Source organism: Homo sapiens, chromosome 1 (genome assembly GCF_000001405.40).
Source record: "Homo sapiens chromosome 1, GRCh38.p14 Primary Assembly".
Classification (NCBI taxonomy): Eukaryota; Metazoa; Chordata; class Mammalia; order Primates; family Hominidae; genus Homo; species Homo sapiens.
Window position 1 is genome coordinate 11,561,210 of NC_000001.11, and position 12,745 is coordinate 11,573,954.

The 12,745-nt window shown below is 50.5% G+C and overlaps 1 annotated feature.

Annotated features, from left to right (window-relative positions):
• Positions 6,423–6,717: a silencer, noted in NCBI's record as "tiled region #3841; K562 Repressive non-DNase unmatched - State 20:ReprD". NCBI's record gives its function as "represses a minimal TATA promoter and a strong SV40 promoter by Sharpr-MPRA in K562 cells {active_cell/tissue: K562}" and the evidence as "EXISTENCE:reporter gene assay evidence [ECO:0000049][PMID:27701403]".

Sequence of the window (12,745 nt, forward strand, 5' to 3'; positions counted from 1 at the left end):
CAGATGGGCATGGGGAGAGCTGAAGGAGTTGGCTTTGGGAGAATCTTGTTGACTCAGACTGTCCTGTTGCCCCCACCCAAACACTTGGCAGAACCCCTCCCCAGTGTTCCTTCTAGAGTCCCCAGACCTGCGAAATTCCCTCTGCAGGCAGAGGTCAGCTCCAGCACCTCCCTAGAAAGTTGTATATGGCCTGGGTCATCTTCCTTGGGGTGACTGCCCTCCCTCACAGGCTGTGCCAACCTCTGTGTCCCTCCGATTCCCCTCTGTGTCTCCGCGTTCCCGGAGAGTCACCCTGAGATGGAAAATCCAGGGCTTGGGGTGGCTCTAGTTGGAGGCTTGTCATGGCCTCTCTGGGACCTCTGAGATTTGAGTAATGGGACTTGCCAGGGGAGACACACTGCTAAACCTGCCTCCCTCCTGTCCTCAAAAGTGAGCCCTAAATGGGGAAAGAAGAGCCTCTTCAAGCAATGCAGGGACAGTTGGATACTTGTGAGCAAAACAAAAGAGTAGAGGCCAGGCATGGTGGCTTATTCCTGTAATCCCACCACTTGGGGGGCCATGGTAGGAGGATTGCTTGGGCCCATGAGTTCAAGACCAGCCCAGGCAACATGGCAAGACCCTGTCTCTACAGAGAAAGGAGAGAGAGAGAGAGAAAGGAGAGAGAGAGAAAGAAAGAAAGAGAGAAAGAGAAAGAAAGGGAGAAAGAGAGAAAGAAGGAAAGAGAGAAAGAGAGAGAGAGAGAAAGAGAGAGAGAGAAAGAAAGGAGAAAAGAAAGGAGAAAAGAAAAGAAAGCCAGCATGATGGTGTGCACCTTCAGTCCTAGCTGAGGCAGGAGGATCATTTGAGCCCAGGAGTTAGAGTTTGCAGTGATCTATGATCATACCACACTGTACTCCAGCCTAGGTGACAGACTGAGACTCTGTCTCTAAAAAAAATTTAAAAATAAAGGCATGAGATCCTTCCTCACACTGTACACAAACATTAACTCCAAATGACTCATAGGCCTAAATGTAAGAACTAAAATTATAAAACTATTAGAAGAAAACATAGCAGTAAATCTTCATGACCTTGGGTTAGGCAAAGCCTTCTCAGATACAACACCAAAAGCAAAAGTAACAAAATAACAAAACAGATAAATTGGACTTTAACAAAATTAAAAACTTCTGAACTTCTGGCCGGGGGTGGTGGCTCACGCCTGAAATCCCAGCACTTTGGGAGGCGAGGCAGGTGGATCACCTGAGGTCAAGAGTTCGACACCCGCCTGGCCAACATGCTGAAACCTCATCTCTACACAAATTAGCTGGGCGTGGTGGCGCTCGCCTGTAGTCCCAGCTGCTCAGGAGGTTGGGGCAGGAGAATCGTTTGAACCCGGGAGGCGGAGGTTGCAGTAAGCTGAGATGGCACCATTGCACTCCAGCCTGGGCAACAGAGCGAGATTCCATCTCAAAAAACAAAAACAAAAACAAAAACAAAAAAACCTTCTGAACTTCTAAGAACACTGTCAAGGAAGTAAAAAGACAATGTGCAACATGGGAGAAAACATTTGTGAATCATGTATCTGATAAGAGACTTGTATCCATGGCGTAGCAATGAGGGGAGAGGATTTGAATCCTATCCTCCTCCTACAGGCCATGTGACCTGGGGAAGTTATGCAACCTTGCTGGGCCTCAGTGTTCTCATCTGTAAAATGGGAGTGGAAATAAAAGGCCCCACGTCACAAAGTGCTGTGAGGATGAAAGGGGGGAATGTAAGATAACGCCTGGCCCAAGGCAAAGTGCGCCTTAAATGTGGTCGAGTACCTACTGTGCGCCAGGCCTCAAAGGGCTCCAAGCCTAACAGAGAGATGCAGTGTAAAGGGCCCATCCCACCCTGAATGGAGTGACATCAGGGCTCCTTAAAAGCACAGCAACCCCAAGCTCCAAGTGAGGAGGGGGCAATCCTGGGGTGCTGCCCAGAAAAGAGGGCTTCTGAACAAGCTTTGGGTGTGTCCCCGGCCTAGACCAGTGGTCCCCAAAGCATTTTGACAATCTAATCAGATGGGAGTCCCACCCAACCCACTGAGTCCCAATCTTTAGCCTCAGGAGCCTGGGAATCTGCATTTTCCAAAAGGTCCTCTGTTGAGTCTAGCCATGAACCAGGCTTACACACAGCTGGGAGGCTGGGGGACAGGGACAAGGAAGGTGGGGCAGGGACCCACTGAGGCTTCCAAAGCAATAAGCAATGGCATCTGAGGGCACAGGCTGTCTAAGGAGAGCCCCTGCCATCCCTCTGCCCCTTGGGCCTTTGTGTCCCCAGCAGGGAGAGCACATGCAGGGACTCACAGTCTCTGTCCCCGCCAGCCAGCGGGGCTGATACTGGCCGGCCATTATCTGCCTCCCTGAGGTTTCTTTGCTGTCGAGAGGCAGCTCTGCGAGCTCCTTGGAGGGTCCCCCTGGGGCACTGGAGTGTCTGTTTACAGTTCATTAGCTACTTGACAGAGAGGCTCTGAGAGGGAGAGACATAAAGAGGAAGTGTCAGGGCAGGGGCCCCGCAGATCCGTCAGAAATGAAGATAAAGCTGCTTGCAGATGAGGAGGTCTGACAGTGGCGACAGCTGGGCGCCAGGCCTTGCAGGTGGCCGGTGAATGCAGCTCAGCCAGCCTTCCAGACTCGTTGCCCCAGGCCTGCCCAGTCGGCCTGAGATCCCACACCGGGCCTCCACCAGTTTCCCTGCTGCTGGCTGCCAGCTCTGATGACTACTCATGTCCCAGAAACAACCACGAGGTCCAGCAAGAGGGGACTGGCTAGGGAAACGGCCCGGCACTCCCTCTGTGGGGTATTTCCCAGCCATTCAAGATGCTATTTATAAAGACTTGGGCATTACATGAGGAAATACTTATATGCCATAGGAGAAAGTGGAAAAAAGCAAGACACAAAATTATATCAACAGTATCAGGGTAGGTGCGGTGGCTCACGTCTGTAATCCTAGCACTTTGGGAGCCCAAGGAGGGAGGATTGCTTGAGCCTAGGAGTTCTAGGCTCTGTCTACAAAAAAGTCAAAAAATTAGCTGGACATGGCAGTGCATGCCTGTGGTCCCAGCTACTTAGGAGGCTGAGGTAGGAGGATTGCTTGAGCCCAGAAAGTCAAGGCTGCCCTGAGCTGTGCGGTGCACTGCGGTAGGAGGCAGGGCTCAACTCTGGAGGTGGGGCTCAGACATTGGACCAAATTGAGGATTGGCTAAAACAGGACGATGACAGGGGAAAGCAACTTTTCATAAGACATGCCACCAGTGTGCGATGTCAGTTTACTGTTGCTATGGAAACACCTGGAGTTACCGCCCCTTTCCATGGCAATGACCTAGTGACCCAAAAGTTACTATCCCTTACCTAGAAATTTTTGCATAAACTTCCCCTTAATCTGCATGTAATTAGAAATCAATATAAATATAACTCCAAAACTGCCCTGAGCTGCTACTCTCTGCCTGCAGGGAAGCCCTGCTCTGCAGGAGCAGTCACAGAGCTGTAGGACTGCCATTTCAATAAAGCTGTTTCCTTCTACTCTACCACCGGCTTGTCCTTGATTTCTTTCCTGGGAAAAGCCAAGAACCCTCATGGACTCAGCCCCACTTTGGGGCTCGCCTGCCCTGCATCAGTGCCACTGCACTCCAGCATGGGTGACCAGAGTGAGACCCCATATCAAAAAAAAAAAAAAAAAAAAAAAAACACCAGTTTGAACCCAGTGAAATGAAAATAACTCATAGAGAAAAAAAACAACAACACCTGGAAGGAAAGATAACCCAAAATGTTGATGGTTGCCCCTGGGTGGTAGAAACAAGAGTGATCTCTTTCTCTACTTTCTTCTTTTCTACAGTTCCCAAATTTTGCATACTGAACACGTCTGCTATTATAATAGCAGCAACAAAGTCTATTTTAAAAATAAATAGACTTTAAGTCTATTCATCATCTGAGTTCCTGCACCCACAGGGTTGCCTCCTGCACCCACAGGGCAAGGGCAGGCCTGGGGTGAGAACATGGGCTCACCAGTTCCAGCTTTCCCCACCTGGCCTCCTTGAGGCCCAAGCCCACATTTCCTGCCCTGAGCTGGGGGTCTGAGCCATTAGTCACCCGGATCTTTCAGGGGTATCCGAGGGAGTTTCCACACTCACCCCTCCAGCCACAATTTGGAGGCAAGGGGAGCTTCCTGAGAGCTGGGCAGCCCCTCGCAGCCCACCCCCTCACACCCAAGAACGAGCCTCCAGTACCCCATGTTCACAAATGCAGCGGAGCCTGCCGGAGGATCACGGAGGGTGGCAGAGCATCTGTCCCTCAGCCCTGAGACCCAGAGATGAAAAAGCAAGAGACAGAACTCAGATCTGAGTTTTCAAAAACAGAAGTTGGGCTGGGGGGACTGGGGTGTCTAGGGAGGCTGCTACAGAGGTTTTCAGCAAGTCCTTGATGATGACAGCAAAAACCACATCACTGGGCCCATTTTGTGGGCTGTAGTGGGTGGAACCGTGGCTCCCCAAAAGATGTGGCCACCCAGAGCCTGTGGCTGTAAATTTATTTGGGAAAATGGTCTTTGCAAACATAATTAAATTAAGGATCTCAAGATGAGATCCTCCTGGATTACTTGGGTGGTTCCTACATCCAATGACACCTGTCCTTGTAAGAGACAGAAGAGAGACACAGAGGTGAAAGTGATATGAAGATGGAGGCGGAGACGGGAGTGAAGTGTTCACAAGTCAAGGAATACCAAGCGGTTCTGGCAGCCACCAGAAGCTGCGGGAGAGGCACGGATCAGATTCTCCCTCAGCCTCCATAAGAAGCCAACACGGTGGTACCTTGATTTCCAACTTCCGGTCTCCAGAACTGTAAGAGAATAAATTTCCACTGTTCTCACCCATCTGGTTGGTGGTGATTTGTTACGGCAGCCCTGGGAAAGGAATCCACAGCTAAGCCCTGTGCACCACTTTGTCTAATGAGATAGGCTCTTTCATCATCCCCATCTTACAGACAGCGAAAATGAGGTCCAGAGAGGGTAAGTAACTTTCCCAAGGCTACACAGCAGTGATCATGAGGCTGCACCTGGGACCCAGGTCTGCCATCCTTAAGAGCGACTAGCGGTGCCAGGGATCACGCTAAGAGTTTTACACTCACGGTCCCCAGCTCTGGACTCAGGCTCTAGCTCCATCACTTATGGACCACGTGACCCCACACAAGTTACTTAACATTCCCAAGCCTCAGTTCCTTCACTTACAAATCGGAGAGAACATCAGAAACTACCAGTGGGGTTGTCTTGAGGATTTGAGATCTCGTGTCAAGCTGTGCACCAGGGAGCCTCCCCAGATTAGGGACACCCTCTGTACCCCATCTGCTCTCAAGCAGTCCTGCAATGGCAGACAGGAGCCCAGCCTCCCTCCGCCAGCACAGTGCAGACACTTGCAGCTTCCAGCAGGCCACGGCAGCACCAGCTCTAACAGCAACCACAAATTAGACTTGTAAATTAGGGTTTGGCTAATTGTGACTTTATGGACTAGTAGTAGATATTCCTTTAAAAACCCTGTCTGTAAACACACAGCGGCCCTGCTGAGCGAGTGCCTAGTTGTATAAAATTTCTTTTAGGCAGAAATATATGGGCTGTGCTAGCTGACCCTCCGGGACGGCATCTCATTCGTTATGTTTTTTTCTCCTCCCCGTGCCTTAAATGGTGCCGCGTGAAGCTAATCCACCAACGAGGTTGCCTCTCGCTTCACCCCATAAATCCTTGTCTTGCAGTTGCCCTGGGCACAGCCACCTGCCTGTGGCACAGTGACACGGTCACAACTGGGTGTCACCCCACTTCTCAAAAAGCTTAAGGCCTTGTCCTCCTGGGGTCAGGGGGCACCTGGACAGTGGGGAGCATGAAAGAAAAAGAACTCCGAGCCAGAAGGTGAGACCTCAGATTCTCTTTAGAACAAGCCTCACATCCCCCATTCCCCATCCTCACCTGGCGAGACTAGCACTGGGCTGGAGGGTTCAACTGTAGCACATGCATATTTAACAAGGTGGATGGGAGGTGGCAGGGAGGGCTGAGGGAAGGACATTACCCCTACCCTACCCTTCTGCAAGACAAAGAGCTCTGGCTTTGAGCTCAAACTGCCCTAGGCTTGTAGAGCACTGACTAATGGCACCAGGCACTTAGCTCGCCTGGCCGTCCTCACATAAACCTATGCAGGAGGTACTGAGCTCATCCCCATTCTGCAGATGAGAAGACTGAGGCACAAAGCAGTTATGAAATCTGTGCAGGGTCAGCTGGTAAGCTGGGGAGATGGGATCCAACCCCCATGTCCTTATCCCCCATGTCCTTATCCAAGCTCCAACCCCCATGTCCTTATCCACCATGACGTTTCATCTATTAGACCTCTACACGGCAAGTTAATCATCCTGAGCATCTGTGCACCAAATCCGGCCCACTGCCTGTTTTTGTAAATAAAGTTTTATTGGAACATGGTCATGTCCATTTGTTTACACATTGTCTATGGCACCTTTTCATGTGACAAGGACAGAGTTGAGTAGTTGCAACAGAGACTATACAGCCTGCCAAGCCTAAGCTGTTTAACTTTAGGCTCTTTACAGAAAAAGTCTGCTAACCCTTGATCCTGAACCTTGTTTTCTCATCTGCTCAATGACAGCAGTGGCGAGGCTCGCTCTTGAGGCTGTCGGGCAGATGAAATGAGATCACTTGCACACAGGTGCAGTGAGCGCCCAAACATAGCCAGCCTCAACAAGCATTATGCCTTTTTTTTTCCTTTTCTTTTTCTTTTGGGATGGAGTCTCGCTCTGTCACCCAGGCTGGAATGCAGTGGTCTTGGCTCACTGCAACCTCCACCTCCCGGGTTCACGTGATTCTCCTGCCTCAGCTGCCTGAGTAGCTGGGACTACAGGCACCTGCCACCAAGCCTGGATAATTTTTTTGTATTTTTAGTAGAGACGGGGTTTCACCATATTAGCCGGGATGGTCTCGATCTCCTGACCTCGTGATCCGCCCGCCTCGGCCTCCCAAAGTGCTGGGATTACAGGCGTGAGCCACCACGCCTGGCCGGTGTTACACCTTTTCTTTTCCCACTTGTCTTCATCTCCCGCTCCCATACACACGCATCCTTGACTGCCACTGCCCCCATCACAACATATTCACTGGGCACCAAAGGCACATAGCAGGAGAGGCTGATCTGGATTTAGGGACTCCAAGCTGTTAGGAAATCAAAAGAAGAGATTCTACTGTCCCTGCTTCTGCCTGCACCAGCAGGCCAGTTATGTTGAGTCCTGGCCTCAGCACTAAAGTCCTCACTTTTTTTTTTTTTTCCTTGAGATGGAGTTTCCCTCTTGTCCCCCACGCTGGAGAGCAGTGGTGTGATCGTGGCTCACTGCAATCTCCACCTCCCGGGTTCAAGAGATTCTCCTGCCTCAGCCTCCCTAGTAGCTGGGATTACAGGCACACACCACCACGCCCAGCTAATTTTTGTATTTTTAGTAGAGATGGGGTTTTACCATGTTGGCCAGGCTGGCCTCGGACTCCTGACCTCAAGTGATCCGCCTGCCGCAGCCTCCCGAAGAGCTAGGATTACAGGCATGAGCCACTGCACCTGGCCGGAAAAGGCGTCATTTTAAGAATAGAAAGATATTTTTAAAAAGGAATTTTGTTATTGCAACTCAACCACAGAATGAGTTAAGTCTCCACATGCAGCCACATACACTCGAGAAAAGTCACTAAATAAACAGTCCTTAATTTGCACAGGATCAAGCCCTGACCCATTTTTGGGTCTTGCCATTGTAAATAGCCTCTTGATGGTTGTCTATGTATCACCGACCCAGTTTTCTTCCCTGTGTACCAAAGGTTGGACTCTCTTCAGCCCCAGCAGATGCTCAGTTTATTTAAATTACTTCATTTACATATTTGAACATTTGAATTACATTTTGTTTATAACTATTGTCAGTTAATAAATATATGGTGCATGGAGGTTGTCATATACAGCTATGTAGGCTGTGCATTGCACAAATCTAGAAGACACTGATCACACTTTGTGTTCATAGATTTGTATATGAATTAGGATGACTATCTATGACTATCAGATGACAATAGAATATTTTGAGGAAGAGGCTCCGTTTTTGGATTTGCACAGAGGACCGTGAACTGGGTTCTGAGGAAAGAGCTGCAAACACAAAACCTGGAGTCGCTGTCCTCATGGAGTTCATAGTCTAGTAAGAAAATAAGATGAAGGAGCGGCAATAACAAGAGGGATGATGAGAGGACAGGGAGCTGGGGGTGCTCTGGGGACTCTGGGAGTGGCATGAGTGGGAGTCAGCTGGGTGGTGGGGCGGGAGGGAGAGAGGGCAGAATTGGGGGATGTTCTAGGCCAGGCAGCAGTGAGGGAATGGGTGACTTCTCTCTAAAGAAGGGTCCTGGCTGACTCACTTCTTAGTTGTCCGCCTCCTCAGAGGAGCGGGCTGTACTTTCTCCTGGACTTCCCCGGGAGCAGGGGTTTTGTGTCACACCTAATAAAGGAAGAAGGCAGAACATTCTGGCTCGTTCAGTGGTAACGGCCTGCGTGCCGGAACACGGCCGATGGATAAGTACACTTTGTGTTTAGGCACCCGGTGACCCGGAACACACTGTACCTGGGAGAATGAGCACAGGAGCCAGTGTGGCTTAGCAGGTGGCTCAGCCACGCAGCGAGCATCAGCGGAACCAGGGAGGGCCCAGGAGCTTGCTGAGCTGCTGCCCCTGGCAGGAACCAGGGCAGGGCCCCAGGACTCAGCCCCATCTTGTCCTGGCCTTGTCCTTGGTTTCTGTCGCTTTGGGCTCTTCCCAGCAGAGCAGCAGGCAAGGCCAGAGTAGTACTTATGAGCAGAGGTTGCCTGTGTTTGAATCCCATCTCTGCCATCTCTGAGCTGTGTGACCCTGGGCAAGTTACTAAACCTCTCTGAGCCTCTGTTTCCTAGCAAATGTCATAATAAGAGAAGCTAGCTCATAGGATCGTTCATTCATTCAATACTTATTAATGGAGTTTCTTCTGGAAGCAGGCAGCAGGACCCTGCCCTCAGGAAACTCACATGCAGGCATCCCGTGAAAATCCAGTAAGAAAATCTGTATTCAGGGCACAGCACAGAGCCTGGCTCCTGGGAGGGCTCGTGACAATCTGCTCAGCCACCTTCCTCTTCTGTCAGTGTGCTGTCCAGACAGAGGCAGAAGCAGCAGCAAATTTGTGGGTGGCCAGGGTGAGCGGAAATGAAGTTCCAGTAAATCATGGATGTAAGGCACAGAGCTCAGCTGTCCTGTGCAGGGAACCTGAGGGGCCACAGGTAGGGCTGAGAGATTTCAGGGCTTCCACTCCTGATGGGGTGGAGACGATTCACTCACCACTCCATCACCAAGGTGTCAGGATAATTTATTGTGATACTGACCTGTGTATGTGCGGTCTTTACACACGCACACAACACACACACACACACCAGGTAGCTGGGCTTAATTTTCCCTTGCCTGGGGTGGGGAGTGGTTTGCAGGGGGAGAAAACAGAAGCCCTCACACTTTGGGGAAATCTTCAACCCCCTGGAGAGATGCTATCTGAGAAAATGGGAGCCAGGGCCTTTGGAGCCAAGAGAGAGGGAGGAGCAGGAAGGAGCAGAACCTCTGCAGAGAGAAAGGGGATAAGGTACCCCGAAACCACTCACTCCTGCATGCTCCGCCCTCGTGCTGGGAAAAGGCTCCACCCTGAGCCGGAGGTCACAGCTGACTCGAGCTGGCCCATAGTGCCGTTGCAGCCCCTTGACTGCAGTGGACCGTGGGTTTCAGTGGCAGCTACCGGACCCGGACCTGGAAGGACGGGAGGCTGAGCTGCACGGTGCCACCCCAGGAGGAGAGCCTGTTTGAAGCCAACACAGAAGCTGCCAGCCAGTGCAGAGAGAACTGGGCACTGGAAGCCAGGTGCACCCCTAGTTCCGCTGCAGGAACCAATGTGCTTCCTTTTCCGCGTAAGCCACATTGAGTGGGGTTTTCTCACCAGGATTGGTAGCAGCCGCCTGGAGCACTATGTTGGCGAGGATTCTGGGGTTGGGGGAGGACTGCCACACACAATTTTCTGGGTCTGCCACATACATGTCCCCTACTGGCTACCCTGACCCAGAGGCACCAGGCAGAAGCAATCAGCCCATGGGCACCACCAAAAATGACCCAAGAGTTGGAGAAGTGGCCAGTGCTGACTCTCTAGGCAGCAGAGTGCAATGGTTTAGCCCACATGCTCCAGAAGCAGACTCTGCGGGTTCAAATCCCAGCTCCGCCACTTATCAGCTATGGAAGCCTGGACAATTTACTGTATCTCCTTCTGCCTCAGTTTCCCCATTTGTAGCACAGAGATGATGAAAAGTGCCTATCTGGTGGGGTTTTTGGAGAGAAACACATAGTGTGTCTCCAGTAAGTGTGAATTCATAAGGGTTAAATTCATGTGTATAGTGCTAGTTGCATTTCTAGGCTATCAGCTCCTGCTTTTCTCCCATACAAACGCATGCACACCTGCACACACACATGCACACTTGCACACATACACACACACTCAACCTCTTCCTTGCCAGCCCCACAATCGTGTGAGCCAATCCTTAAATTTCTTTCTCTATGTATATACACATATATGGTACACATATGTACAGATATATATATACACACACAAACACACACATACACATAGATAGATGGATAGCTATAACTATAGATATATCTTACTGATTCTGTTTCTCTGGAGATTCCTAATTAATACAGATACCTACCAAGTTTTCTGGAGCCCTCTTTGACAAAGGGGGGGCGGTCTCAGATATCATAGCTCAGACCTGTGCATCAGCCATTAGACGTGTCAGATGGGACGACCCAGCATGTGTCTAAAGCAGTGATTCATCCCTTGACAAGCCCAAAGCCTCCTCTTCAGAAACAGTGAAGAACTGCCTGGAGGCCGTGGCCATGTCTCGGGATAGACTTGGCATTTACTACCCAAGTTTTCAGAACCACTAGTGGCACTTGTAGGGTCAGCTCCTGAAAGCTCCATTCAGCTGGATGCAGGTGGCCACAGCAGACACCATATTTGCCCAGGAGCTAAGCCAGGGCCATGTAGAATCAAAAAGATTTTTAAAAACAGCGCCCCCTGCCATGTGGGTTAATGTGGTGGCTTTGGTTCCTGCGGAGGCGAAGGGAAATGACAAGCTTGAAAAGATTAGGAGGCTGCAGGTAGGCAAGAGTGGGGAGGAAACAGCTTTCTTCTGCAAGCACTGCAGCAAAGCTCCTCCCCTGGGAACATTCGGCAGCTCTGGCCAAGGCAGGAAGTATGACCTTGCTTGCCCTGGTCACCTCCAGTTTAGCCCTTTCTTATACCAAGGGACCAGGGGTCTCTGGACCCACTCAGACCTGAGATGCTCTACATGTTCAGCTGGGCATGTCTCCCAAGTAAAAAGCAAAGAGCAAATCAATTGCGCTATCCGTGTAGGGTAGGGGGTTCCATTTTTCTCTACTTCCAACATTTGTTTAAAGTTACACTTACACAGTCCTCACCACACACCAGGCACTTTGCAAATATTAATCCTTGAAATCCTCACAACCAATCTCTGTGGGCCCAGTCCAGGTAGAGCCGAGGCTCAGAGGGATTGAACAATTTGCACAGGGTCACACAGCCAAGAAGTGAGTCTGGCTACAGAGTCCATGCCCCCGATCACTACTCCACACTGCCTTGCAAAAATGTGACGACTGCTCTTTGGGCTTTTCAAGGGATGAATCACTGCTTTAGACACATGCTGGGTCGTCCCATCCGACACATCTAATGGCTGATGCACAGGTCTGAGCTGTGATATCTGAGACCCTCCCTCATCAAAGAGGGCTCCAGAACACTTGGTAGGTATCTGTATTAATTAGGGATCTCCAGAGAAACAGAGTCAGTAAGATAAACCCATAGTTATAGCTAGCTAGCTATCTCTGTATATGTGTGTGTCTATATATATATCTGTACATATGTGTACCATATATGTGTATATACATAGAGAGAGAAAGAGAGATTTATTTTAAGGATTGGCTCACATAATTATGGGGCTGGCAAGTCGGAAATTCCCAGCACAGCCTGGAGATTCAGGTAGCAGTTGATGTTGCCATCTGGAGTTTGAAATCTGTGGGGCAGGCCAGCAGGCCAGAAACTCAGGCAGGGTTTCTGTGTTGCAGCTGAGGCAGAATTGCTTCTTCTGCAGGAAACTTCAGTCTCTGTTCTTGAGGCCTTCCACTGATTAGACGAGGCCCACCCACATTGTGGAGGGTCATCTGCTTTCCTCAAGGTAAACTGGTTGTAAATGTGAACCACATCTAAAAAATACCCCCACCGCAGCATCCATCTAGAGGAGTGTTTGACCAAACAGCTGGGCGCTGTGGCCTAGCCAAGGTGATGCAGGACATGAACCACCATAAGATCCAGGCAGGCACGTGAATTCTAAAGGAAAGATGCTTTGCTGGGAAGTCAGGCAGCTGTGGCCAGCTCTGCCATTGACTCTTTCCCAAAGCACTGGTCAGCTGATCTGGTGCGTCCTGGGGACCCCCTCACCTCCTTAGGATGACAGTGCATCAAAGGGGACAGAGGAAGAAACAGACAAAGAAGCCAGCTCCATCTTGGGCAGGACTGGTCCTTCTCCCATCCTGAGCCCTGCTGTGTGCAGGACAGACGACTGATGTCTCCGGAGCTAGATTCCAGAAGGTGCCCACCACCATTCTG